A 25,198-nucleotide genomic window follows, 5' to 3' on the forward strand; every position below is an offset into this window, starting at 1 on the left:
GAATGATACCGGTTGACTGTGTGACAAAAGCAAATCAAGAACCTCTCTGCGGCTCATGAGTAAGCCAGAGACTTACATAGGACAACACATACCCTATCACCCGAGGATGAGACGGGATGACACACACGAAGTGCCCCGCACAGCGTCGTTGTAAAGCGTTGGCTGTTTTCACCTCTGGCCGCCCCCTGTGAGCCCGATCATGTGCTTTTTGGGCTTAGGTCGGAGGCGGCCTCCCAGATTCTACAGGCCATTGAGGTCGTAACAAGCGTCTCCATCAGAGCCTAGTCCTTAACTAGCTGCGGGTAAGTGCCCGGACTAAGTGGCCTCAGTTTCCCCTCGAAGCAACGGGACCAATCGCACCGCCGGCAGGACATCTTGTGCGGGGCGCGAAGTGACAAAAGTCAGGATTTGCAGAAGTTCCCACTCGGTAACGACCCCCACCCCGGCAAGGAGCACAGTAGGCGCTCCGGAAACGCCCTCCACGAGGAGGGCCGGGCCACTTCCTGCCCCCGAGCGGGCTCTCCCCGGCGGAGGCTCCCACCGCCGCTATGGGTAGGCCATGCAGCATTCCTGAGGGCGGGGTGGGCGCAGGAAGAAGGTGCCCGCGGCCCCGCCCCCTCCGGGCGCGCTGGGCGGGGCGAAGCCCCTCGGCGCCGACGGCCCGCCCCGCGGGGGGTGGGCGCAGCTCGTCGCGCTCCGCACAAAGTTTGTTTTCTCCCTCCGGGCGGGTGGGGGAGGGCGCAGAGGGCGCGGGGGGAGGAGAGGGGATCTGACGTCAGGCCGCGAGGTGCTTTCCAGCCGCGAGCTGTCAGGCCGAGTGTCAGGCCGGGCAGGTACGCGGCGCGCGCCCCCGGCGCCCCCCGCTCCCCGCCGGGACGCCCCGCGCCGAGCCGGAGGCCGCGTGGACCCGAAAGCCGCTGGGAAAAGTCAGTGCAGGGAGCAGCAGAGGGCCAGATGGGGGTGGGGGCGCGCGGACAACTTGGAAAGTTTCTTTTTCTCGGCCGGACGGGGAGGGGGCGTCGTCCTGGCGCGTGCGGTAGGGGGTGTGTGAGCTCGGGGGTGTTTGTGAGTCCCGACGGCCCCCGGGGGGTGTTTGTGAGTCCCGACGGCGCTGCGCTCCGGGGGCCGGTGGGGGACTGTTCCAGCCCCCGGGAGGAAGCCCGCTTGGGGCCCTGGTGGGGGGCCCAGCTTCATAGGATCCCACCCCAGGAGAGGGCCGATCCTGCACCGGACCTGAGTGAGCGCGCGGGGGGACGGATTTGTTTGGTTTCAAAAGTGCACGTTGCTAACCGCCAGCAGGGCCCCCCCGCCGCCGAGCCGGACAGGGGGCGGCCGAGAGTGACAGCTGGGGGTGGGGGCCGCGGGAAGGGCCCGGAGCGGGGGGGCCCTGGGGAGCCCGCGCGAGTTCCCCTTTCCTTTGGAACAAAGGAAAGTCTGTCTCCGAGGCATCTGTCACTCCCAGGCTGGCCAAGGAAGCGGGGCGCGTGGGGCCGGCGCCCCGGAGAAAGTTTGTTCGCGCCGGGACCCTCGGGCAGGCCGAAGGTGATCCAAGCCTCCCGCGGGAGAAGCGCGTAGTCTCCGGGGCAGGGGGCGGCCAACATGGAGTCTGGGCGCAGGGCTGGGGGGGGGGGGGCGGCGCGGAGGTGGGAGCCCAGCCCCCTCCCCTCCCTTCCCCTCCCCTCCCCCTCCGGGCCCAGTTCGGAGCACAAAGCCGAGCGCGCACGCTCCGCCGTCCCCGCGCCCCGAAGAGTCGGCCAGCCCCGAACTGCCGGAGTAGGGGTGGGAACCAAACTTTTTCCTGCCCCGGGACAGACACGTGAGTTTTCTTTCTTCCAGAGCCCCCGTCCCACCGGGATGGCGGGCCCGCGCGGGAGCTGGTGCGCGGAGTCGGCCCGGGGTGTGGGGACTGTGGGGTGCAAGCGCCCCGAGCGCCGGACGATTCCTCGCCGACCCAGGAGCCATGTGCTCCGACTCGGTCTGGGCCGCGGGGGAGGTTGCGCGCTTTGTCTGAACTGCTGGGAATGCGGGCGTGAGTGCGCGGCCCGGGGGAGTGTCGGGACCAGCTAGGGGAGTTGTCAGAAAGTTCGTGCGGGAGTGGCTGCAGGTGGCGTCGTGGGAGTCTGTAGGAGGGTGTACGGGATGTTGTGTCGAGGGGTTGCTGCCACAGGTCACTGAGGGTAGAACTGATTGTTAGTGTGATGACGCCTGGAGTTTTCCCTGTCGGAGAGATCGGGGGTGGCCGGGTCGGTTGGAGTTCGTGGGTGGGCGGGTACAGAAGTTGGGCTAGTTGTGTGGGTCACAGTTGTTCGTGCTAGGCCTGGGGTCTGTAAGCTGTGCGTGTGCGTGCTGTATGCGTCGGTGAAAACCCTAGGGTTTGTAAGGCTTGAGCGATGGGTCCGGGCCAGTTATCCTAGCGCTGTTGGTTAATTGCCTGGCGTGAGTGTGTCTGGGTGCGGTGTGGGGTGCATATGTGGGAAGCCTCCCAGACTACAGATGGCCCTGTGTGGCGGAACACCGAGGTGGAGAAGTTTGTGTAGACTGAGGGGTCATTCCCCAGGGCCCACCCGGGGAACCCTGCAGACAGACTTGGCTGGCAGCCAGGGTGGAATTTGTACAGATAACCTTGAGTACTTCTCACAGCCGGCCAGGGCTGCATCACTGAGCCCAGATCCCAGCTGCCCTGGCCACCTAGAAATGGCTGTCTGACCTCAGAAAGCAGCCTGCAGTGGTGCTCTCTGAGGAGTGGCACGTCTAACCAGTGCCTGTCTCACCTCCAGGTGGCCTGACTGAAAGGGTAGACCCTTCCCTCGAAAGCCTGGCCTAGCCAGCCCAGAGATCTGGGCTCGGGTCCAAGAAGAGGAAACAAAACCTGGGAGATGCCAGAGTCTGTTGGCCGGCCTGCTGGGGAGCTGTTAAAAGGCTGAGAAGGGAGGAGCCTTGAGATCCTGGCATCAGCCTGGCCTAGAACTTTTGCTTTTAAAATGAAAATCTGGCTGGGCGGGGTGGCTCACACCTGTAATCCCAGATCTTTGGGAGGCCGAGGCGGGCAGATCACCTGAGGTCAGGAGTTCAAGACTAGCCTGGCCAACATGGCAAAACCCTGTCTCTACTAAAAAAAAAAAAATAGCTAGATGTGGTGGCACACACCTGTAATCCCAGCTGTTCGGGAGGCTGAGGCAGGAGAATTGCTTGAACCTGGGAGATGGAGATTGCAGTGAGCCAAGATTGCGCCACTGCACTCCAGCCTAGGCTACAGAGCGAGACTCCATCTCAAAAAAAAAAAAAGAAAGAAAGAAAGAAAGAAAATCTTTGTTGCACGTGTGAAACAGAACTTTGTCCAGGGACTGAGCAGCTGAGTTGGGTTATCTAGGGAAAATCCTTCCTTCATTTGACAGGTGAAGAGGGGACTCAAGCCCAGAAAGGGGAGGATCCTTGTCCAAGTTACAGTGCCAAGTGGAGGGTGGGCCTTGCTCATTCACCTGGATTTTGAGTGGTTGAGTCTAGGACCAGGCTAAAGGGGCCTGACAAAGGAGAATGTCCAAGAAGCAACCAGTAGAGAGATGACTCACCTCTCTCACTGCAAGGTACACAGTAGGTGCTCCTTAAATATTACTTGGACTGCTGCAGGATCATGGTGATCTGTAGTTTCCAGAGTTCTCACTGGCCCTTGGGAGACCTAGGAGGCAAGACAGTATACAGCTCACAAGAGGGGGTGGGGAGAGGCCTGGTCCAAATCCGACTTCACTATCCTAACCTGGGGGTGGGATTTTTTTCCTTTACAGCTTTATTGAGATATAACTCACATACCATGCAATTCACCCATTAAAGTATACTCATCAGCAGGTTTGGTATGTTTGCAACCATCACTATAGTCAATTTTAGGACTTTTTTGCGGGGGGATAGGGGGACAGGGTCTTGCTCTGCCTCTCAGATGGGAGGGCAGTAGTGTGATCTCATCTCATTGCAACCTCTGCCTCCGGGCTCAAGCGATTCTTCCACCTCAGCCCCCAGAGTAGCTGGGACCACAGACATGCATTACCGTGCTCAACTAATTTTTGTATTTTTTGTAGAGATGGGGTTTCACCGTGTTGCCCAGGCTGGTCTTGAACTACTGAGCTCAAGCGATCCACCTGCCTTGGCCTCCCAAAGTGCCAGGAGTATAGGTGTGAGCCACAGCACGTGGCATTTTTTTTTTATTATTTTATTTTTGAAAACAGGTTTTTAATTATGTCGTCCAGGTTGACATGCACTGGTGCGATCATAGCTCACTACAGCCTTGAACTCCTGGGTTCAAGGGATCCTCTCACCTCAGCCTCTCAGAATAGCTGGGACTACTGGCACACCATCACACTGGGCTAATTTTTATTTTATTTTATTTTTTTATTTTTTTCTTTTGTTGAGACAGGGAATCACTCTGTCACCCAGGCTGGAGTGCAATGCCATGATCTCAGCTCACTGCAACCTCTGCCTTCTAGGTTCAAGCAGTTCTCCTGCCTCAGCCTCCCAAGTAGCTGGGATTACAGGTGTGTGCCACCACACCTAGCTAATTTTTTTTTTTTTTTGGTATTTTTAGTAGAGACGGGGTTTTGCCATGTTGGCCAGGCTGGTCTCGAACTCCTGACCTCAGGTGAGCCACCCACCTCGGCCTCCCAAAGTGCTGGGATTACGAGCGTGAGCCACCGTGTCCGGCCTTTGTTTGTTTTTGTTTTTTTTTTTTTGAGATGGAGTCTCGCTGTGTCACTAGGCTGGAGTGCGGTGGCACGATTTCGGCTCACTGCAACGTCCACCTCCCAGGTTCAAGCAATTCTGCCTCAGCCTCCCGAGTAGCTGGGACTACAGGCACGCGCCACCATGCCCAGCTAATTTTTGTATTTTTAGTAGAAACAGGGTTTCACCCTGTTGGCCAGGATGGTCTCAATCTCTTGACCTCGTGATCTGCCTGCCTCGGCCTCCCAAAGTGCTAGGATTACAGGCATGAGCCACTGTGCCCGGCCTTTGTTTTTTGAGACCTTTTTTATTTTGTTGTCACCCAGGCTGAAGTGCAGTGGCACAAACACAGTTCACTACAGCCTTGACCTCCTGGGCTCAAGCAATTCTGCCTCAGTCCCACAAGTAGGTGGGCTTACAAATGCACAGCATGACACCTGGCTTATTTTTGTATTTTGTGTGTGTGTGTGTGAGCCACTGCGCAGGCCTTGGGCAGCTTTCTTGATCTCTGTTACCTCATCTATAAAATGATGATAATAATAGCTTCTCCCTTATTGGGGAATTGTAATGATTAAATGAGATAACATGTAAAATGCTCAGTACAGGCCAGGCATGGTGGCTCACGCTTGCAATCCCAGCACTTTGGGAGGCTGAGGCTGCTAGATCTCTTGAGGCCAGCAGTTAAGACCAGCCTGGCCAATATGGTGAAACCCTGTGTCTACCAAAAAATACAGAAAGTCAGCCAGGCATGGTGGTGCATGCCTGTAATCCCAGCTACTCAGAGGCTGAGGTGGGAGAATCACTTGAACCCAGGAGACAGAAGTTGAAGTGAGCCAAGATGGCGCCACTGCACTCTAGCATGGGCTACAGAGTGAGAGCCTCTCTCAAAAAAAAAAAAAAAAGAAAAGAAAAAACCAAATGCTTAGTACCGAACATGGAAAACAGTAGACCTCAGTAGAAGCTGTAATTGTTTCCAGCCTGAGTCCTGCTTGTGAATGAGCTGCCATTCGGTAGTCACCTACCTGTTCCATGAAGTGGAGGAACTTTGGACTCATCCCTTCTAGCTTGCTCGGTCTGTGTTACGGCCTGAGATTCTGAATTGCAACTACCCCATTTCTGGTGTCCCAGGCTCAAGTAATGCTGAGCATGTTTGGAGACTAGGAAAAGGCGGTACGTGCTAATGATGTTCCCATCCCCTGTGTCCCTTGTCCCAGGTTTACCCAAGGTCCAGCCTAGCCCCTAGGCACCATGTCGGACAGTGATCTAGGTGAGGACGAAGGCCTCCTCTCCCTGGCGGGCAAAAGGAAGCGCAGGGGGAACCTGCCCAAGGAGTCGGTGAAGATCCTCCGGGACTGGCTGTACTTGCACCGCTACAACGCCTACCCCTCAGAGCAGGAGAAGCTGAGCCTTTCTGGACAGACCAACCTGTCAGTGCTGCAAGTAAGGAGGGGATCTGGATAAGGGGGTGGCAGGAGGACCTGGGTTCTAGTCCTATTCCAGCTGTGTCACTGAGTCACTGTGGTCTTGGGCCACTCACTTTCACTGTCTGGGCTTCGGTTTCTTCTTGGGTTAGGGGAGAACACCCACTCTCCCTGTCTCAAGGGAAGACAATGAAATAGGGTCGCTGCAGTCAATTTCAGACTTTAGATAGTCCTTTTTTTTTGAGACGGAGTCTTGCACTGTCACCCGGGCTGGAGTGCAGTGATGCGATCTCGGCTCACTGCAACCTCCGCCTCCCGGGTTCGAGTGATTCTCCTCCCTCAGCCTCCCGACTAGCTGGGATTACAGGCGCCCGCCACCACGCCCAGCTAATTTTTTGTATTTTTAGTAGAGACAGGGTTTCACCATGTTGGCCAGGCTGGTCTCGAACTCCTGACCTTGTGATTCACCCGCCTCAGCCTCCCAAAGTGCTGGGATTACAGGCGTGAGCCACCACGCCTGGCCCAGACTTTGGATAGTTCTGAAGAGGCAAGGAATTTAATGTTGTCAAAGTCTAGGTGTCATCCTTAACTTTGGAGGCCAAGGGAAGATGAGAAGGCATCGAGCATCTAGGATTCAGCCCCCAGCCCCAACGCAGTATTGGACGGCGACTTGGTTGAAAGGGGCAGCTGTAATTTGCAGTGTGGTTAAGAGATGGGGCAGGATCACAGTCCAGGAAAGGGCAGAAGTCAGAGGTTCTGTGTTCATAATCCAGTTCTGCCTCACGTCTTGATTTCCTTATCTGTAAAGGGGCAGGGGGTACACAGAGTCTTCCCCTGCCTGGTGGATCTGTTGTGACGAATAGATTCAGAACTGGATGTGAAAGTGCTTTGCAAACCATGCACATGAACACACTCAAAAGATAGCCTTATCCCCTTTTTGTCAGAGTGCAAAGTACTGTCCCCTTTGAATCGCGCCTATTGCTGACCCGCAGGTGTCTTTGTTCTGCTTTCCTGGAGCAGAGGCGGGGGACCCTGAACCACCATTGCTTTGCCTCCAGTTTGCCTCTCCCCTTCCTGGAGACACACAGTAGGCCCTTAGCCTAATACAAGAGGCCCAGCCCTGCCCTGCTGGCCCCCACTGCTCCCTTCCTGAGCCAGTCAAACCTCTCCCACAAGCTCTCCTGTTTCTCTTTCCCCCTCTGTCCTTTCATAGCTTATTACTCCAACCTTTGATGCTGTCTCTCCCTCCTTCCCTTATCCCACTCTGAACCTCCCACGTCTTCCTAGCTCCTATCTTTCTTCCATGTAGAGACATGGTAAGTATTTTAGCCCTCAGAACTCCTGTCACCTGACTTTATACTCTGGGCAATGGTTAATCCAAGTCTCTGTATGAGAAAGGCTCTAAAGTTACAGATCCTGACTCAGATTCCATCTTCTCCACAAGAGGAAACCTGGACCTTGGCCAGGTCACTGCCTTCTCTGTGAGCCTCATTATTCCCTCATCTGAAAAAAGGGAGGTGATTGTAGCACTTTCATGAGTGTAGGGAGAAAGGGACGAGAAGAAGAATTCAAGGCTCACTGGGGCCCTTCACAGTGGCTCACACCTGTAATCCCAGCACTTTAGGAGACCAAGGTAGGAGGATCGCATGCGCCCAGGAGTTTGAGACCAGCCTGGGCAACATAGGGAGACCCCATCTGTACAAAACAAAAAAATTAGCTGGGCATGGTGGTACATACCTGTAGTCTCAGCTACTTGGGGGGCTGAAGTGGGAGGAAGGATTACTTGAGCCCTGGAGGTGGAGGCTGCAGTGAGCTGTGATCGCACCACTGCACTCCAGACTGGGCGAAGGAGTGAGACATTGTCTCAAAAAAAAAAAAAAAAAAAAAAAAAACAAGGCCAGGCACGGTGGCTCACACTTGTAATCCCAGCACTTTGGGAGGCCAAGGCGGGTGGATCACCTGAGGTCGGGAGTTCAAGACCAGCCTGGCCAACATGGAGAAACCCCATCTCTACTAAAAATACAAAAAAAATTGCCAGGTGTGGTGGTGCATGCCTGTAATCCAAGCTACTCGGGAGGCTGAGGCAGGAGAATTGCTTGAACCTGGGAGGCGGAGGTTGCGGTGAGCCGAGATGGTGGCATTGCACTCCAGCCTGGGCAACAAGAACAAGACTCGGTCTCAAAAAAAACACCTACTGGTCAGTGTTTGGCATACAGTGGGTGTTTCTACTGTTTTCAGCTTCATCTCTGCCTAAGGCACAAAGTCTTTGGCTGATCCTGGGTGCCCAGCAGTGCGTGGCATCTCACAGTGTACCTCCTCAGCATGGAGCTGTGCAGAGTTGGGATCTGAGAGAGGCTCCAGACACATTCTTACCCTCGAGGAGTGTCTGGACAGCCTCTTTGCGGGTCTCCCTGCCTTCAGCCTTCAGCCTTCAGCCTTGTTCATTTAATCCATTATTTTGAACACAAAAGCCCAAATCTGATAGGGCCAGGCACTCCTGGACTCTACTGCCCTCAGGATAGAGTCCAAACTGATCTACAGCCTAGGTTTGGGGCTGCTGCTTATATTCCCAGTGCACCTCACCCTGTCCTGTCAAACCACTTGTCACACTCTATTGGAATTACTTTTTGTCAGGGACACTTTCTCAAACCTGAGAAATATACTAACTCCTTTTATTTATTTATCTGTGTGTGTGTGTGTGATGGAGTCTTGCTCTGTCACCCAGGCTGGAAGTGCAGTGGTGCGATGTCAGCTCACTGCAACCTCTGCCTCCCGGGTTCAAGTGATTCTCCTGCCTCAGCCTCCTGAGTAGCTGGGATTACAGGTGCATGCCCCTACGCCCAGCTAATTTTTGTATTTTAAGTAGAGACAGGGCTTCACTATGCTAGCCAGGCTGGTCTTGTACTCCTGGCCTCAAGTAATCCGTCCACCTCAGCCTCCCAAAGTGCTGGGATTACAGGCGTGAGCCACCATGCCTGGCCCATCTTTTTAAAGAAAACATTTTTCGGCCGGGAATGGTGGCTCATGCCTGTAATCCCAATACTTTGCGAGGCCGATGCGGGCGGATCACCTGAGGTCAGGAGTTCAAGACCAGCCTGACCAACATGGTGAAACCCCATCTCTCCTAAAAATACAAAGTTAGCCAGACGTGGTGGCTCATGCCTGTACTCTCAGCTACTCAGGAGGCTGAGGCAGGAGAATCACTTTTGAACCCGGGAGGCGGAGGTTGCGGTGAGCCAAGATCATGCCATTACACTCCACCTGGGCCACAAGAGCGAAACTCGGTCTCAAAAAATAAAAAAATAAAGAAAACATTTTTCATGGACCCATCTCCCCGCAAGATGTTAACCTGAATCATTTTTATCATATCACTTAGGTAAAACATAAAACTGGGTATATATATAAAAAAAAAACCACTTCTTTTTGCTTTTGTTCTTATACCTAACCTTAAAATCAAACTGTTTCCAAAGTAGATAAATGTAAAAACCGTGACATTCCACCTGACTGTGTTAACTGAAAATGGTGGGTGGTGCTTTGCTGACTGCACTGCAGGATGTGGTGTGGCAAAGGCACAGACTCAGCAGAGTAGATCTGGATGGTCTTAGGCCCCGATGCTCCTACTGGTGATGAAAATGGAAACCCAAAGCCAAACATCCTTCTAGAGAACTGGCGAACCCCTCAAGGTGACACATCCACAGGTCCCACCTGGAGAAATGTAAATGTAAGGAAAGGAAACTGGGCATCCCCTGGAGGGAGGGGACCCGTGGTGGCCACCTGCTCTAGAGTCATGCCGAGAGTTAAGAGCAGTGGGGACCACCCAGCCCTCCTTGATGGAAACTGACCATGAATCCCATGTCAGCCCCAGCTGCACACCTGTCTGGTAACTCCTCCCAGTTAGTTCATTGCCCTCAGCTCATTTGGTCAATTACCAGCTCCTGTACAAATACCCCTTAAATATTTCAGGGTTTTGGCTTCTTTCCTACCCTCATCTAAACCATCATTATCTGATCACAATCATTTATCACTCCCCAACTTAAAACCCTTCAGGCCAGGCATGGTGGTTCGTGCCTGTAATTCCAGCACTTTGGGAGGCTGAGGCAGGCAGTTCGCTTGAGGCCAGGCCAGGTGTTTTGAGGCCAGCCTGGTTAACATGGTTAACTTCTTCAATACTAAAAATACAAAAATAGCCGGGCATGGTGGTACATGCCTGTAACCCCTGCTACTCAGGAGGCTAAGGTACAAGAGTCACTTGAACCAGGAGGACGAGACTGCAGTGAGATCGCACCACTGCACTCCAGCCTGGGCAACAGCAAAACTGTCTCAAAAAAAAAAAACAAACAAACAAACAAAAAAAACCTTCAGTGGTCTGGCAGGGTAACTCATACCTGTAATCCCAGCACTTTGGGAGGCTAGGATGGGAGACTTTCTTGAGCCCAGGAGTTCAAGGCTACAGTGAGCTATGATCATGCCACTGCCCTCCAGCCTAGGTGACAGAGCAAGACCCTATCTCTAAAAAGAAAAAAAAAAAAAAGGCTGGGCACTGTGGCTTATGCCTGTAATCCCAGCACTTTGGGAGGCCAAGGCGGGTGGATTACCTGAGGTAAGGAGTTGGAGACCTACCTGGCCAACTTGGTGAAACCTTGTCCTACTAAAAATAAAAAAAATTAGGCTGGGCGCAGTGGCTCATGCCTATAATCCCAGCACTTTGGGAGGTTGAGGCGGGTGGGTCACCTGAGGTCAGGAGTTTGAGGCCAGCCTGGCCAACATGGCGAAACCCCGTCTCTACTAAAAATACAAAAATTAACCAGGTGTGGTGCTGTGTGCCTGTAATCCCAGCTACTTGGGAGACTGAGGCAGGATAATTGCTTGAACCTGGGAAACGGAAGTTGGAATGAGCCGAGACTGAGCCACCGCACTCCAGCCGGGGCAACAGACTGAGACTCTGTCTCAAAAAAGAAAAGAAAAAAAAACTAGCTGGGCGTGGTTGCAGGTACCTGTAATCCCAGCTACTTAGGAGGCTGAGGCAAGAGAATTGCTTGAACTCGGGAGGCAGAGGTTGTAGTGAGTTGTGATTGCACCATTGCACTCCTGCCTGGGCAACAGAGCAAGAGTCCATCTCAAAAAAAAAGAAAAAAAAATTCAATGGCTTTTGCCAGCCTAATGACATCACCGGCCCGTGTCTACATCTTGAACCTCAACCCTGGTCCCCTACATTCCCACTACATTGATCCACCTCCCCAGACCATTTTCCTCCCACCCCTGACCAGGAGGCTCCCAGTCCCTAAAGGAGCTGTATGCTCTCACAGCAGATAGATGAGGTCACAGCACTGGGACACTAAACTGTAATTGCTTTTAGACTGCACCAAATTCTAGAGGTGTGGAGAGCACTGACCTAGTGTTCACAGTTACAGCCCTAGTGTAGCATAGTGCTTGGTATCTGGTAGGTAGGTGCTCAGTAAATAATGTTGAAGTGGCAGAAAAGGGCTATAAAGTGGTGGAAGGGTCAACAGGCAGGACCTCAGAAGTAAGGAAATGTAATGGCTCCTAATCATGAAAAATAGCCTAAAGCCTGGGAGCATCATTTTTTCCTGTATTTATTAATTAATTTTTTTTTTTTTTGAGACGGAGTCACTCTGTCGCCCAGGCTGGAGTGCAGTGGCGCAATCTCAGTTCACTGCAACTTCTGCTGCCCAGGTTCAAGCAATTCTCCTGCCCCAGCCTCCCGAGTAGCTGGGATTACAGGCACCTGCCACCAGGCTGAGCTAATTTTTGTAGTTTTAGTAAAGACAGGGTTTCACCATTTTGGCCAGGCTGGTCTCGAACTCCCGACCTCAGGTGGTCTCACTTCAGCCTCCCAAAGTGCTGGGATTACAGGCGTGAGCCACTGCTCCCGGCCTCCTGTATTTAATTTTTTAAATTTCATTTTCCATTAAGGACATTTAAGAATATCTATAAAAGCTGAACGCAGGCTGGGCACAGTGGCTCACACCTATAATTCCAGCACTTTGGGAGGCCGAGGCAAACGGATCACCTGGGGTTGGAAGTTTGGGACCAGCCTGACCAACACGGAGAAACCCCATCTCTACTAAAAAATAGACAATTAGCTGGGCATGGTGGCGCATGCTTGTACTCCCAGCTACTCAGGAGGCTGAGGCAGGAGAATCACTTTTGAACCTAGGAGGTGGAGATTGCCGTGAGCGAGATCCTGCCATTGCACTCCAGCCTGGGCAACAAGAGTGAAACTCCATCTCAAAAAAAAAGAGAAAAAAGCTAGGCACAGTGTCTCACGCCTGTAATCCCAACACTTTGGGAGGCTGAAGCGGGTGTATCACTTGAGGCCAGGAGTTGTAGACCAGTCTGACCAATGTGGTGAAACCCCGTCTCTACTAAAAATAGTCCCAGCTATTCGGGAGGCTGAAGCAGGAGAATCACTTGAACCCGGGGGTGGTGGAGGTTGCAGGGAGCCAAGATCATGCCACTGCACTCCAGCCTGGTCTACAGAACGGGACTCTGTCTTTAAAAAAAAAAAAAAAAAAAAAAACTCCACAAAAGTAAGAGAATATAATAATCAACCACCAGCACCAGTCACTCGGCTTGAACAAGTATCAACATTTTGCCAAGCTTGTTTTATCTCTCCCTGGGGACATCTCTTTTGATTGTCTCCTTTAACCCTCCCAGGAGCGATTCATTAGCAAGTCAATGACTCAACTAACTGGTTTGCTGGTACTTGCCTGGGGCTAGGCAGTTGGGAGGGTTAGGGAAAAAAGTAGTTTGTAAAGGATTTTCACAGGTCCCTTCGACATCCTCTAAGCCCAATTTATTGGTTGGACTAGATCTGTGGCTACCTGGCAGGGTTCTGGGCCCCAATCCTTTACTGTAACAATGGTTGGGGATATACCACGTGCCAGGCCCGGGACTCTGTGCTGGGTATACAGTGGTAGAATGGGTACCTTCCCATTACTTCCTGGCTGTCAGGACTCCTTTCATATGCAGTTTCCTGAGGGAAGCCTTCCCAAAGCCCATACCGGGGCAGGGGCAGCAGTCCCCCTGGCGAGGGCTGTTGGGTGAGAAAGGAACCTGGTGCAGAGGCTGTAGTGGTCAGCTGTGGGGGAGGAGTGTCCTGGCCTAGCCCCCAGGGCAGCCAGGGATGTAGGAGCTGCTCTCCTCTGGCTCCAAAGCTAGCTGCCCTCTGATTCCTCCCACAGGCAACTTCTATTTTTCCCCATCTCAAGGCCTTTCATCTGTGTGTATGTTTTTTGAACTTCTGTGTAAGCTTTTTGGCTTAAATAAAGGGCTTGGCCTGCAAGGACAAGTAACCAGTAGGCTAAACCATTGGTTCCTAAGCCTGGGCGGCCAGACTTTCTGGGTAGCTGGTCTGAAAACACATTGCCAACTCCACCCCTCACCCCCACTAGATCAATAAAGCAGAGGGGGAAATCACTAACAGTTTTTAAAAATCTCTCCCAGGCTGGGTGTGGTTGCTCTGCCTGTAATCCCAGCACTTTGGGAGGCCAAAGCGGGCAGATCACTTGAGGTCAGGAGTTTGAGACCAGCCTGGCCAACACGGTGAAACCCTGTCTCTATTAAAAATACAAAAATTACTTGGGCATGTTGTCGTGTGCCTGTAATCCCAGGTACTTGGGAGGCTGAGGCAGGAGAACTGCTTGAACCCGAGAGGCGGAGGTTGCAGTGAACTGAGATCGCACCATTGCACTCCAGCCTGGGCAAAGAAGTGAGACTCCATTTCCCCCCCCCCAAAAAAAAAAATCTCCCCTAAGGTGATTCTAATACAGAGAGCTGCCTTCAAGAGCACCTGGATATGGTAGTCTCAGTGTGAATGGTGGTACCATGATGTTTGGGAAAGGCGCCTCAGTGCCTTTGCTTCCTTGACACAAAAATGAGAGGGTTTCTGCCTGCATTCATTAGCTGCTGCTCCCAGCATCACAGCCTTTGTCAGCCTCCTGGTGTTCCTCCCACCCCCATTTGCCACAGTGATTCCTCCCTTGTTCCTCAGCAGCCTCTCAGATAGAGCCCTGTTTTATGGTAGAGACCGGCTTTCCGGTTCCCAGCCTGTGTTTTGCCATATACATCACAGAGTTCACTTTGACCTTCTTCCTACCATCTCCCCAAGGACCTTGAGTGGAGACAAGTCACAGGTTCTTTTCCTGACTTAGGCACAGGCTGGGCAGCTGGAAGGGCTGCAGAAGGGGCACTGGCAGCCACTCAGTCCCCCCGCGTTGCCTTGCCCAGCCCCTCAGCTGTGCATTTTTCTGGGCTAAGAAGACAAAACAGACAGATGCTAGGCTGCCAAGTGATCTGGACAGGACAGTCTTGTGGGGGAGTGTGTGGAGGGGTGTTTTTCTGTTCTTGAACCCTCAGCCAAAGTGGGAAGTGCCTTTAGGGGCTAGGTGCCCACACAGATGCTGAGAAATGCCCAGACTGCCCTCCATGAGGCTGCCTGCTCAACAACACTCCTTACTTTGCTTGACCCAGGTCACTGTGACCTGCCCATTTTTCCCCTGCATCCAGGGCTGAGGTGGAGAGGGGCAGTGTACTCCTGCAGCACAGGTATGGGAGGAGGCAGCTGTGGGAGGGAGGGAGAGAAGGACACAGGCACTGCTCCTGTGCAAGGAAGACTCCCTCTCACTCTTCAGCTGGCAGTGGGGTGGCTGCCCAGAACCAGGCTGTCTGGATCAAACCCAGCTTTTGCACTTGTGACCTTCAACAAGTTTCTGAACCTCTCCGATCTGTTTCTTCAAGGGAGATCATCATATAACCTGTGTGATAGGCTGAGATTGAATGAATAATTAGATATGAAATGTGAATAGTGCCTGAGGCCAGGCGTGGTGGCTCACACCTGTAATCCCAACACTTTGGGAGGCTGAGGTGAGCAGATCATTTGAGTTCAGGAGTTTGACACCAGCCTGGCCAACATGGGGAAACCCCATCTCTACAAAAAATACCAAAAAAAAAGTACCTGGGCATGGTGGCACATGTCTGTGGTCCCAGCTACTCGGGAGGCTGAGGTGGGAGAATTACCTAAACCCAGGAGGTCAAGGCTACAGTGAACTGTGATTCCACCACTGCACTCCAGCCTGGGTGACAGAGTGAGACCCTGTCTTTAAAAAAAAAAAAAAAAAGCACAGCAAAGCAGTGGAGGCCCTAAAGCCAGGAGGCCTGGTTTTAAATCCCAGCTCTGCACTGGGAAGATGTGTGACTGGACAAGAGCTTTCTTCTCATTGAGCTCAGTTCTCTCTAGTACTTTGGGGACACTGCCCTCTACCCTCCAGGCTTGTATGCAGATTAAACATAATGCAAGTGAGGTGGCTGGCATGATACTGCTATCAAAGGTGTTTGAGTAAGTTTGTTCCCTTCCTTCATCCCACCTAGCTGTTGAGCCCTTCCTTCTTTTTTTTTTTTTTTTTTTTTTTTTTTTGAGATGGAGTCTTGCTTTGTCGCGCAGGCTGGAGTGCAGTGGCGCAATTTTGACTCACCGCAACCTCTGCCTTGTGGGTTCAAGCAGTTCTCTCAGCCTCCTGAGTAGCTGAGACTACAGGCACATGCCACCACACCCTGCTAAGCCCTTCCTCTCTTTAGGGTTTTCCCACAGCTCTAGTCAGGATTCAGCTCAACCAGCGTCCACTGAAGCCTGTTGGTATGTGTGTGCATTGGAGCACCATAGTGGTGAAGAGGGGCAAATAAGGACCCCAGAGCCAGGGCCCCTCCTGGCTGGAATGGAATGGGAGAGAAGGGCCACAGAAGCTTCTGGCTCTGCCCTGCCTATGAGCCTTCCAGCCCGACAGCCTGGTGCTGTCTTTGAGTCACCTGTGGAATAGATGCAGCTGCAGTTAGCTAGGTTAGGAGAAAAGACAGGACCAGAAGAAGGACCTAGAGTGTGAAATTTCAGTCAAGCCACCGTTTAGACCACTTAATGGTTTTCCATGGTGCTCTGGCCTGGTTGTCAGCCCTGTCCACCTCTGAGCTCATCAGCTACCATTCACCGGTTCCTTAAGCCAACCCTTTCCTGCCTCAGTTCAGTTGCATTGGAGGACCATAGAGGTGAAGGAGGGCAGATGAGAACCCCACGGCCAGGGCCTTTCCTTGGAATTGTCTAGAACATTCTTAGCTTTCTGTATGGCTAGCTCTTCTAATCCTTATGTCTCAGCCTTCCAGAACCCTTAGCTATGGGAGTTTCTCTTATCTTTATAATGCCCCCTTTATTCTTGTTTCTGTTGGGGGCTTGTTGGTGGTTATTCACCTAATGGTTAATAGTCAGTCTCCATGACTAGGTGCACTATAAGCTCCACAGGGTGGAGTGCATGTCTGTTTAATTCACAAAGGCATCCCAGCACTGAGAACTGGGCCCAATATACCAGGCACTCAAATAATATTTGAATGAGCAAGAAGCCTTGAAGAGCAGCAGGAAGGTGAGAAGCTCTAACTTGACTTTTTTTTTTTTTTTTAAGACGGAGTCTCACTCTGTTACCCACGCTGGAGTGCAATGGCGTGGTCATGGCTCACTGCAACCTCTGCCTCCCGGGTTCAAGCAGTTCTCCTGCCTCAGCCCCCCAAGTAGCTGGGACTACAGGCGCGTGCCACCACACCCGGCTAATTTTTGTATTTTTAGTAGAGACGGGGTTTCACTATGTTGGCCAGGCTGGTCTCAAACTCCTGACCTCGTGATCTGCCCACCTCGGCCTCCCAAAATGCTGGGATTACAGGCGTGAGCCACCACGCTCGACCGACTTTTTTTTTCTTTGAGACAAGGTCTCACGCTGTCACCCAGGCTGGAGTACAGTGGCACAGTCACAGCTCACTGCAGCCTCAAACTCCTGGGCTCAATTGATCCTATCACCTCAGCCTCGCAAGTAGCCGAGACTACAGACACGCACCACCATACCCAGCTAATTTTTGTACTTTTTGTAGACACAGGGTTTTGCCATGTTGACCAGGCTGGTCTGGAACTCCTGAGCGAAAGCCATCCGCCCACCTTGGCCTCCTAAAGTACTGGGACTGCAGGCGTGAGCTGCAGCACCCAGCCTGACTCTCCAGGCTGGAGTGCACTGGCATTATCACGGCTCACTGCAGTCTCTGCCTCCCTGGCCTCAGGTGATCCTCCCACCTCAGCCTCCTGGGTAGCTGGGGCTATAGGGCACATGCCATCACAACAGCTGATTTTTTTGTATTTTTGTAGAGATGTGGTTTCACCATGTTGCCCAGGCTGGTCTCGAATCCCTGGGCTCAAGTGATCTGCCCACCTCGGCCTCCCAAAGTGCTGGAATTACAGGTGTGAGCCACCGTGCCCAGCCGGGGGAGGGTCTTCATGTCCGGGCTCTGGAGTCTGGACTTGATCCTGTAGGCAGTAGGAGACAAATGGCAGTTTGCAACCTCCTCCTCCCAGGTTCAAGCAAGTTTCCTGCCTCAGCCTCCTAAGTAGCTGGGATTGTAGGTGCCTGCCACCATGCCCAGCTAATTTTTGTATTTTTAGTAGAGACAGGGTTTCACTATGTTGGCCAGGTTGGTGTGTGTTCTTATTTAACTCTGTCTTCCCACTATGAACCTCTGTGTTTTCTTCCATGTTCTGGGGTCCTGAGACATAGTAAGTGCTTCATAGCTGTTTGTTTTGGTTTGTTTTGAAACAGTATCTTGTTCTATTGCCTAGACTGGAATCCAGTGGTGCGATCATAGCTCATTGCAGGCTCCACCTCTTGGGCTCCAGCTATCTTCCGATCTCAGGCTCCCAAGTAGTTGGGACCACAGGGGTGCACCACTACACCTGGCTAACTTCTTTTGTAGAAACAGGGTCTCCCTGTGTTGCCCAGGCTGGTCTTGAACTCCTGGGCTTAAGCAATCCTCCCGCCTTGGCCACCCAAAGTGTTGGGATTACAGGTGTGAGCCACTGTGCCCAGCCCATAGCTGTTTTAGATTAAGCAAATTGATCGGTCTTGTATATTCATTCCAGATATGTAACTGGTTCATCAATGCCCGGCGGCGGCTTCTCCCAGACATGCTTCGGAAGGATGGCAAAGACCCTAATCAGTTTACCATTTCCCGCCGCGGGGGTAAGGCCTCAGATGTGGCCCTCCCCCGTGGCAGCAGCCCCTCAGTGCTGGCTGTGTCTGTCCCAGCCCCCACCAATGTGCTCTCCCTGTCTGTGTGCTCCATGCCGCTTCACTCAGGCCAGGGGGAAAAGCCAGCAGCCCCTTTCCCACGTGGGGAGCTGGAGTCTCCCAAGCCCCTGGTGACCCCTGGTAGCACACTTACTCTGCTGACCAGGGCTGAGGCTGGAAGCCCCACAGGTGGACTCTTCAACACGCCACCACCCACACCCCCAGAGCAGGACAAAGAGGACTTCAGCAGCTTCCAGCTGCTGGTGGAGGTGGCGCTACAGAGGGCTGCTGAGATGGAGCTTCAGAAGCAGCAGGACCCATCACTCCCATTACTGCACACTCCCATCCCTTTAGTCTCTGAAAATCCCCAGTAGGCATCTGCCAAGAAGGGTGCTGAAGGCTCCAGCCAGCTGTCCTGGGTTTCCGTTTTGGTTCCCTTTCATACAGAGGGTTTTCTATGGATCACTGCCAAACATTGGGATCATCTCCTCTGTCCAGAGGTCTTCAACAGGAAGATGCCAGCTGGCACCACTGCACTGTGATGGGGGCCCTCTCCTCTGCTGACTCTGCCGTTTCTCCAGGCCTCCGCTCAGTGATGAGACCAAGAGATCGGAGACAAGCATGGTGCTGCTGCTTCTGCTGCTTCTCCAGAAAATCCCTGGGACACCTTTGTTCCAGCCTGGTTTCCTGGGCTGGGCTCAGGAAAGCTGCCAAATTCAGTCCTATGTTGGGTCCAAGCTGCCCCTGTGCTGTTTCTGTCAAGCCAGGTGTGGACATTCCAAGTTCATATGCGTGAACAAAAGAAAAGAGGAACCCAGTGGATGTAACAGAACCGACTCCAGTTGAATGTTTAGATTTTTGCTAAACTGTTTTCTTTTTCCCTTTTTTGCTGTGGTTTGCATTCACGGCAGTAGTTAGCCCAGGTGTGGGGAACGAGAGTGCACTGCATGATAGCGTTCTGGTGAGCTGGGAAGGACCCACCACTGCCACTGAGGATTGTTTTGGAAGAAAGGAATATTTTTATCTTGGGGACCAGCTAAGTCTCTGCAGTAGTGTGAAATTCCAAATGGTTGTTTTATCATTGGTTTGGTTTACCAAAAAAAAGGCAGGGAAAAAAAAAAAAAACAACCGTATGAGCGCATTGGCTTGTCTGCCGCAGGCACAGAAGGGTAGAAAGCCACAGCAGGGGGCAGTCCAGCAGACTCTGACTCAACTTTCTAGGCACCTAGCAGAGAAAGATAAGATCAAAAGGTGTTTGGTTTTTCTTTTAATTTTTATTGTAGTTTTTTTGGGTGGGTGGGGGAAGTAAACTAGACTGAAGCGATGGATTTTTTTTTTCTTTTTTTTCTTTAGTGTTTTTCCCTTTGTTCTTGAACACTTTTGCCCTGCAGCCTCAGTTTTGAATTCTTTTAGCAACTTGGATTAGAGGGGCCCATATGTCAGAAGCTCCCAGCACCTCCTACTTGGGAGAAAAGTGAGCCATCTGCTGGTCAGGAAGTCCTCCAGAGAGGCAGCTTTTCCCACAATGGTGGCAGGAAACTTTGGGGAAAGCAGGAATGGTGTCCACTGCTGCGGAGGAACTGCCTTCAGAGAAGGTGGGGCTGGAAAAGGGTTAGAAGCCTCCTAGCTGGGATTGTCTTTGTTTCACCTTTCTTTAAATTAGAATTACAGAAGCCCCTGCCCAGTGAACAGATAACGATTGGTCTTATGCTCCTCCCTTTCCCCCATTTTTTCTTTTGCTGTTTTGTTTTTTGTTTTTTGTTTGTTTGTTTGTTTTTTTGAGACAGAGTCATGCTCTGTCACCCGGGCTGGAGTGCAGTGGTGCGATCTCAGCTCACTGTAACCTCCGCCTCCCGGGTTCAAGCAATTATTTGCCTCAGCCTCCCGAGTAGCTGGGATTATAGGCACCCGCCACCATGTCTGGCTTTTAGTAGAGACGGGGTTTCACCATCTTGGCCAGGCTGGTCTTGGAACTCCTGACCTCGTGAGCCACCACGCCCAGCCTCTTTTGCTGTTTCATTGCTGACAGTGTTCAACAATATGCCCCATCTTTATATATCCTAAGAAACACTAATCCTAGGTTATTGCTAGCCAAAATATTTTTGTCCTGAGTAGTGTCACTGGGCCAAAAGATAGATCAGGACGACAGCCTTTAGTTTTCCTGAAATCACCAGGTCAGGCACAAGGAGAAAAGGTTCCTGGATACTGACTAACTTGGGTGGGTGGATCTAGCCAGGAGAAAGACAGTAACATGTGTTCTGTACTTTCTGGGAAGATCCCTGAAGCCATCACAGAGGCTCCCCAACTTCTGAGTCGCCCATCTGTTGCTGTGGGAGTGTGAACGGATCGCTGAAGGAGAGGGAGCTTTGCTCTCTCTAGGTGGGCAAGTTTCCTGGGCTCTCTGTGTTGCCTCCCTCTGGCTTCTTCCTCCCGTGCCCTCTCCCCGTGTGCCCCAGGGGGATCAGGGATCCTCACCCTCCTGAGGCCCAGTGGGGAAGAATGAACATGGCTTCATCCAGGTTAACTGATGCTGCCATTTGCCCAGCCTCTTCCATCCCAGCCCTGTCAGTGAGCCCAGGTCTGGTGCAACTGCTGCAGGATGCCTGTAGTAGGGAACTCTGGAAGTGTATTGGGCTGAGGTGGGATTTTCCCTCCCCACAGTGCACTGAGCAATGGAGGGTGGTGAGGGAGCCATGCTGCTGAATTCTGGTTGGCATTTCCCCATTATGTAAAATGGGGTGTTGGGTAGGGCAGACTCTGCTTGGGTTTGGTTGTAAGATAAACCTGGAGGAGAAGCACAGTTGTCCCATTGAATTATTTGAGCAAAAACTACTGTAAATAACTTTTTTGTCTTTTGTCAAATAAAATTTTTTTTTGTTTTTTTAAGCAGAAACAGGGTTCTTGATTGATCCACCAGGGCTCAGGGCCCAGGCTTGAAGACAAAGCAGTCACTGGCTTCTTATTTTGCTTTACATCTTTTACTCTCCCTCTAGTAGCCAGCTGTGAGTTCTGTGCACGCTGTACCCCCATTCCCTTTCACCAGCTCCATTCTGTATCCCATTCAACTCAGGGTAAAGGGGGCATTTGCATCTCACATTGGGCCAGTCTTCCCTGGAATCAACAGTTAAGCTCTGGGGTTGCTAAGTGGTGAGGATGTAACCTTGAGGAACTGGCAACTTTGTCCTCCCCCTCTCTCGGTAAGAAACAAGCATGACTGCAGTGTGAACCCGGCACAGAGAGAAGCAGCTATGAGATGGAAGCTCCAGTCATGTCTGAAACCAGGACCACCTGTAAACTTCTCTATTATGTAAGCTAGTGAATTCCCCTTTTTGCTTAAACTAGCTGTTAATACGTTTCTGCCATACTGAAATGACAATACACTAACTGCAGCCCAAACTATAAAAACCAAGGTCTGCAACAGTGGGAAACTGAGTTTGGTTGAGTGTGCCTGGGTCTGGGTCTGTGCTATGTTCAGTCTCTTTTTTTTTTTTTTTTTTTTGAAACGGAGTCTCTCTCTCTTGCTAGGCTGGAGTGCAGTGGCACAATCTTGGCTCACTGCAACCTCCGCCTCCCAGGTTCAAGTGATTCTCCTACCTCAGCCTCCCAAATAGCTGGGACTACAGGAGTGCGCCACCATGCCCGGCTAATTTTTTGTATTTTTTAGTAGAGACGGGGTTTCACCGTGTTGGCCAGGATGATCTCGATCTCCTGACCTCGTGATCCACCCACCTCGGCCTCCCAAAGTGCTGCAATTACAGGCGTGAGTCACTGTGCCCAGCCCCAATTTCTTAATTTTTGTACACACACACATGAAAGTGAGATGCCCTAGGTAAAGAAACTGAGTGGGCTGTGGCTTGTGCCTACAGTCCCAGCTACTCCAAGGCTGAGGCTGGAGGATCACTTAAGCCTGGGAGTTTGAGGCTGCAATGAGCTGTGATTGGACCACTGCACTCCAGCCTGGGTGACTGAATGAGACCCCAAGACCCCATCGTTTTTTTAATTTTTTTTTATTCTAAAAAAAAAGAGAAACTGAGTAGGGATTTCAGATACTTGCCTGAACTCATATAGCCCATATAAATATGGAGCTCGAATTCAAATTCAAGTCTGTTTTCCTTCAGGGTCACTCAGGTCTGCCCAGAACCTACCTGAAGTAATATAGTGGTCACTTACTAACATAGTATCATCTAGCTGTCTAGAACAGTGCTGTGGGCTCAGCACAAGAAGTTTCTTCTGTGAATGAAATCTTGGTGGTCTCTCCTACAGGTCACTCTCCTTCAGGAATTTGGAGAGAGAGCCTCCCCACTCAAGTTTCCCAGATTAAAGAGCCTCAGCTCCCTCAGCCATTCACCCAAGGTCCTGATTTTCCCCCATTTCTCTCTCAGTATCTCTCAAACTGCACACTTGGCCCTGGAGCTCAGCAGAATAGGCACATGCTGTTACAGCTTTTCAAAGTAAGTTTAATATTCAATTCACATCGGCCGGGCGTGGTGGCTCATGCTTGTAATTCCAGCATTTTGGGAGGCTGAGGCGGGCAGATCACTTTTGAGGTCAGGAGTTCAAGACCAGCCTAGCCAACATGGTGAAACCCCGTCTCTACTAAAAATACAAAAATTGGTGGGGTGGGAATGGCGCACCCCTGTAATCCCAGCTACTCGGGAGGCTGAGGCAGGAGAATCGCTTGAACCCTGGAGGCGGAGGTTGCAGTGAGCCGAGATCATGCCACTGCACTCCAGCCTGGGCGACAGAGCGAGACTGTCTCAAAAAAAAATAAAAGGAACTGAAACCAAAAGTGTCTTCTGCATCAAGCTTCAAATGAGCCCTGGAGTGAGCAAGCACTCTAGATAATGAAAGTGAACTGCGGGATAATGTGGCTAGGGCCCCTCCTGTGACGCTGGGAACATGATCTAAGGACATCCACCTTTTTTATTAGAGTCTCATTCAGGAAACAGCTTTTAAATGTATCTGCCCTGGTCGTGAATACCCGCTGTCTCTTTGGGCTGGCTATGTATAGCCTGGCCGCCTCTCTATACCCTTGTTCTTTTTTTTTTGAGACAGATTCTTGCTCTGTCGCCCAGGCTTGAGTGCAGCAGTGCAATCTCGGCTCACTGCAACCTCCGTCTCCTGGGTTCAAGTGATTCTCCTGTCTCAGCCTCCTGAGTAGCTGGGATTACACGCACGCACCACCACCCCTGGCTAATTTTTGTATTTTAAGTAGAGACGGGGTTTCACCATGTTGGTCAGGCTGGTCTCAAACTCCTGACCTCATGATCCGCCTGCCTCAGCCTCCCAAAGTGCTGGGATTACAGACGTGAGCCACCGCACTCAGCCTATACCCTTGTTCTTAATAGGGCTAAGATGATGCTTCAAGCTTTTGGGTATCGATTTTGGACTTTGCATTAATATTTTTTTTGTTTTGTTTTGTTTAAAAAGGTGGCCGGGTGGCGTGGTGGTGCATGCTTGTAGTCCCTGCTACTTGGGAGGCTGAGGCAGAAGAATCACTTGAACCAGGGAGGCGGAGGTTGCAGTGAGCTGAGATGGCGCCGCTGCACTCCAGCCTGGCCGACAGAGTGAGACTCTGTCTCAAAAATAAAATAAAATAAAATAAAGGTAATGGTAGTGATTGGTGGGGAGGGGATCTGCCATCCTCTAGATGGGTGGTCAGGGAAGTCCTCTTCCTTTCCACTGTTTTTGAATGGTAGTTTCTCCATGGCCCCCAGGCTTAGAACCTTTTTTTTTTTTTTTTTTTTTTTTTTTGCCTCAACTTAGCCCTAGGAATAAGCATCTCTGGGGTAAGACTGAGGACTCTGGATTTTAAAAGTACAGTCTAGCTTGAAAGCTGCTACATGGGCTGGGCACGGTGGCTCATACGTGTAATCCCAGCTCTTTGGGAGGCCAAGGCTGGTAGATCACGAGGTCAGGAGTTCGAGACCAGCCTGGCCAAGATGGTGAAACCCCATCTCTACTAAAATTACAAAAATTAGCCTGGCGCGGTGGCAGGCACCTGTAATCCCAGCTACTCGGGAGGCTGAGGCAGGAGAATCGCTTGAACCCGGGAGGCAGAGGTTGGAGTGAGCCGAGATCGCACCACTGTACTCTAGCCTGGGTGACAAGGCAAAACTCCGTCTCAAAAAAAAAAAAAAGAAAAGAAAGCTGCTACATGAAAACTCCATATGGCAGAGGCCAGGTCTGCCTTGTATGGCTGTATCCTTGCTATGTTATGCACTAGAGCTGCAGAGGATAAGGTGTGGCACTCGAAGGATGCAGAAATAACCATCACTGCTGTCAGTGTTACTGATTTCAAAGGCATTTCTCTATGACCCAAGCCTGGTTTCAAATTCTTGGTCTGTCACTGATTAGCTGTCATGACCATAGGCAAGACAGTTCACTACTCCAAACTTCAGTTTTCATCATCAATAAAGTGGGAATAGTAATACTTACCTCTTGGGAGGATGAAATAGGATAATCTATACGTTACTATCTATCCTTGCTCAGCACACAGCTGAGGGAAAAACAACCTGTAAAATAACTTACCCCATACCACACAGCTTTTAAGTGGCAGAATTGGGCCTAATTACCCAGAGAAGTAATTCTCAAGCCTAAATATCCATCAAGATCATCAGGAAAGCTTACAAAGATGCATATTCCCAGACCTCACGCCCAGAGAGTCTGGGCAGGAATCTGCATTCTTCACTGATGCCACATGAGATTCTGATGATCTTGCTCCAGAGACCTTCACCATTCATTATCAGGACACTGACCTATCCCCAGGAAACTACTGGGCTGGGAAAGTAGCAACTCTTTGTCTTTCAAAGTTACAAGATGAGAGGAAGAAGGGTCTCTGAACCATCTGACGTCTTTGCTCCCAGGAGGCTATGGTAACTTGAAGGTCAAGTGTAGCCCTACCATTTTAATTACCAAAGTAATCCACACACGATGTAGAGAAATTGCAAGTAAAGGTAT

General features: G+C 51.5%; 2 protein-coding genes and 1 long non-coding RNA gene across 6 annotated transcripts in view, besides 7 other annotated features; 2 read left to right on the forward strand and 1 right to left on the reverse strand.

Moving 5' to 3' along the window:
• Nucleotides 1-456, reverse strand: part of DLGAP4-AS1 (DLGAP4 antisense RNA 1) — a 65,574-nt gene extending 65,118 nt beyond the window's left edge. Inside the window, exon 1 of the long non-coding RNA NR_109939.1 lies at nucleotides 93-456. This is a non-coding gene — a long non-coding RNA (DLGAP4 antisense RNA 1). The remainder of the gene's footprint in view (nucleotides 1-92) is intronic.
• Nucleotides 455-774: a silencer, noted in NCBI's record as "silent region_12873". NCBI's record gives its function as "represses an Ori minimal core promoter by ATAC-STARR-seq in GM12878 lymphoblastoid cells {active_cell/tissue: GM12878}" and the evidence as "EXISTENCE:reporter gene assay evidence [ECO:0000049][PMID:35858748]".
• Nucleotides 645-21,131, forward strand: TGIF2 (TGFB induced factor homeobox 2). 4 transcript variants are annotated; one of them, NM_001199513.2, is made up of 3 exons: nucleotides 645-705; nucleotides 5,922-6,147; nucleotides 18,091-21,131. In NM_001199513.2, exons 2-3 carry the CDS (start codon nucleotides 5,956-5,958, stop codon nucleotides 18,610-18,612), a joined length of 714 nt encoding a protein of 237 aa, NP_001186442.1. In that variant the 5' UTR covers nucleotides 645-705; nucleotides 5,922-5,955; the 3' UTR covers nucleotides 18,613-21,131. The 4 variants fall into 4 exon arrangements, with proteins under 4 accessions (NP_001186442.1, NP_068581.1, NP_001186443.1 ...); NM_021809.7 differs by lacking the exon at nucleotides 645-705 and adding an exon at nucleotides 778-926; NM_001199514.2 differs by lacking the exon at nucleotides 645-705 and adding an exon at nucleotides 778-833.
• Nucleotides 805-894: a silencer, noted in NCBI's record as "silent region_12874". NCBI's record gives its function as "represses an Ori minimal core promoter by ATAC-STARR-seq in GM12878 lymphoblastoid cells {active_cell/tissue: GM12878}" and the evidence as "EXISTENCE:reporter gene assay evidence [ECO:0000049][PMID:35858748]".
• Nucleotides 965-1,134: a silencer, noted in NCBI's record as "silent region_12875". NCBI's record gives its function as "represses an Ori minimal core promoter by ATAC-STARR-seq in GM12878 lymphoblastoid cells {active_cell/tissue: GM12878}" and the evidence as "EXISTENCE:reporter gene assay evidence [ECO:0000049][PMID:35858748]".
• TGIF2-RAB5IF (TGIF2-RAB5IF readthrough) overlaps nucleotides 1,696-25,198 on the forward strand; it is a 38,043-nt gene continuing 14,540 nt past the window's right edge. Inside the window, exons 1-2 of the mRNA NM_001199535.2 lie at nucleotides 1,696-1,816; nucleotides 5,922-6,147. Of these exons, the coding sequence (NP_001186464.1) occupies nucleotides 5,956-6,147 (192 nt within the window). The 5' untranslated portion in view covers nucleotides 1,696-1,816; nucleotides 5,922-5,955. The remainder of the gene's footprint in view (nucleotides 1,817-5,921; nucleotides 6,148-25,198) is intronic.
• Nucleotides 12,659-13,648: an enhancer, noted in NCBI's record as "OCT4-NANOG-H3K27ac-H3K4me1 hESC enhancer chr20:35213881-35214870 (GRCh37/hg19 assembly coordinates)". NCBI's record gives its function as "activates a minimal SCP1, AML or CMV promoter by ChIP-STARR-seq in naive and primed H9 embryonic stem cells {active_cell/tissue: H9 hESC(naive and primed)}" and the evidence as "EXISTENCE:reporter gene assay evidence [ECO:0000049][PMID:30033119]".
• Nucleotides 16,512-17,140: an enhancer, noted in NCBI's record as "H3K27ac-H3K4me1 hESC enhancer chr20:35217734-35218362 (GRCh37/hg19 assembly coordinates)". NCBI's record gives its function as "activates a minimal SCP1, AML or CMV promoter by ChIP-STARR-seq in primed H9 embryonic stem cells {active_cell/tissue: H9 hESC(primed)}" and the evidence as "EXISTENCE:reporter gene assay evidence [ECO:0000049][PMID:30033119]".
• Nucleotides 18,710-19,588: an enhancer, noted in NCBI's record as "H3K27ac-H3K4me1 hESC enhancer chr20:35219932-35220810 (GRCh37/hg19 assembly coordinates)". NCBI's record gives its function as "activates a minimal SCP1, AML or CMV promoter by ChIP-STARR-seq in primed H9 embryonic stem cells {active_cell/tissue: H9 hESC(primed)}" and the evidence as "EXISTENCE:reporter gene assay evidence [ECO:0000049][PMID:30033119]".
• Nucleotides 22,900-23,269: an enhancer, noted in NCBI's record as "active region_17810". NCBI's record gives its function as "activates an Ori minimal core promoter by ATAC-STARR-seq in GM12878 lymphoblastoid cells {active_cell/tissue: GM12878}" and the evidence as "EXISTENCE:reporter gene assay evidence [ECO:0000049][PMID:35858748]".

The sequence above is a fragment of the Homo sapiens genome, chromosome 20, assembly GCF_000001405.40.
Source record: "Homo sapiens chromosome 20, GRCh38.p14 Primary Assembly".
Classification (NCBI taxonomy): domain Eukaryota; kingdom Metazoa; phylum Chordata; class Mammalia; order Primates; family Hominidae; genus Homo; species Homo sapiens.

Coding starts and splice junctions, on each gene's coding strand:
- TGIF2 (NM_001199513.2), top strand. CDS start 5,956: ATGTCGGACAGTGATCTAGGTGAGGACGAAGGCCTCCTCTCCCTGGCG. Junction 6,148..18,090: donor CCAACCTGTCAGTGCTGCAA/GTAAGGAGGGGA, acceptor TATTCATTCCAG/ATATGTAACTGGTTCATCAA.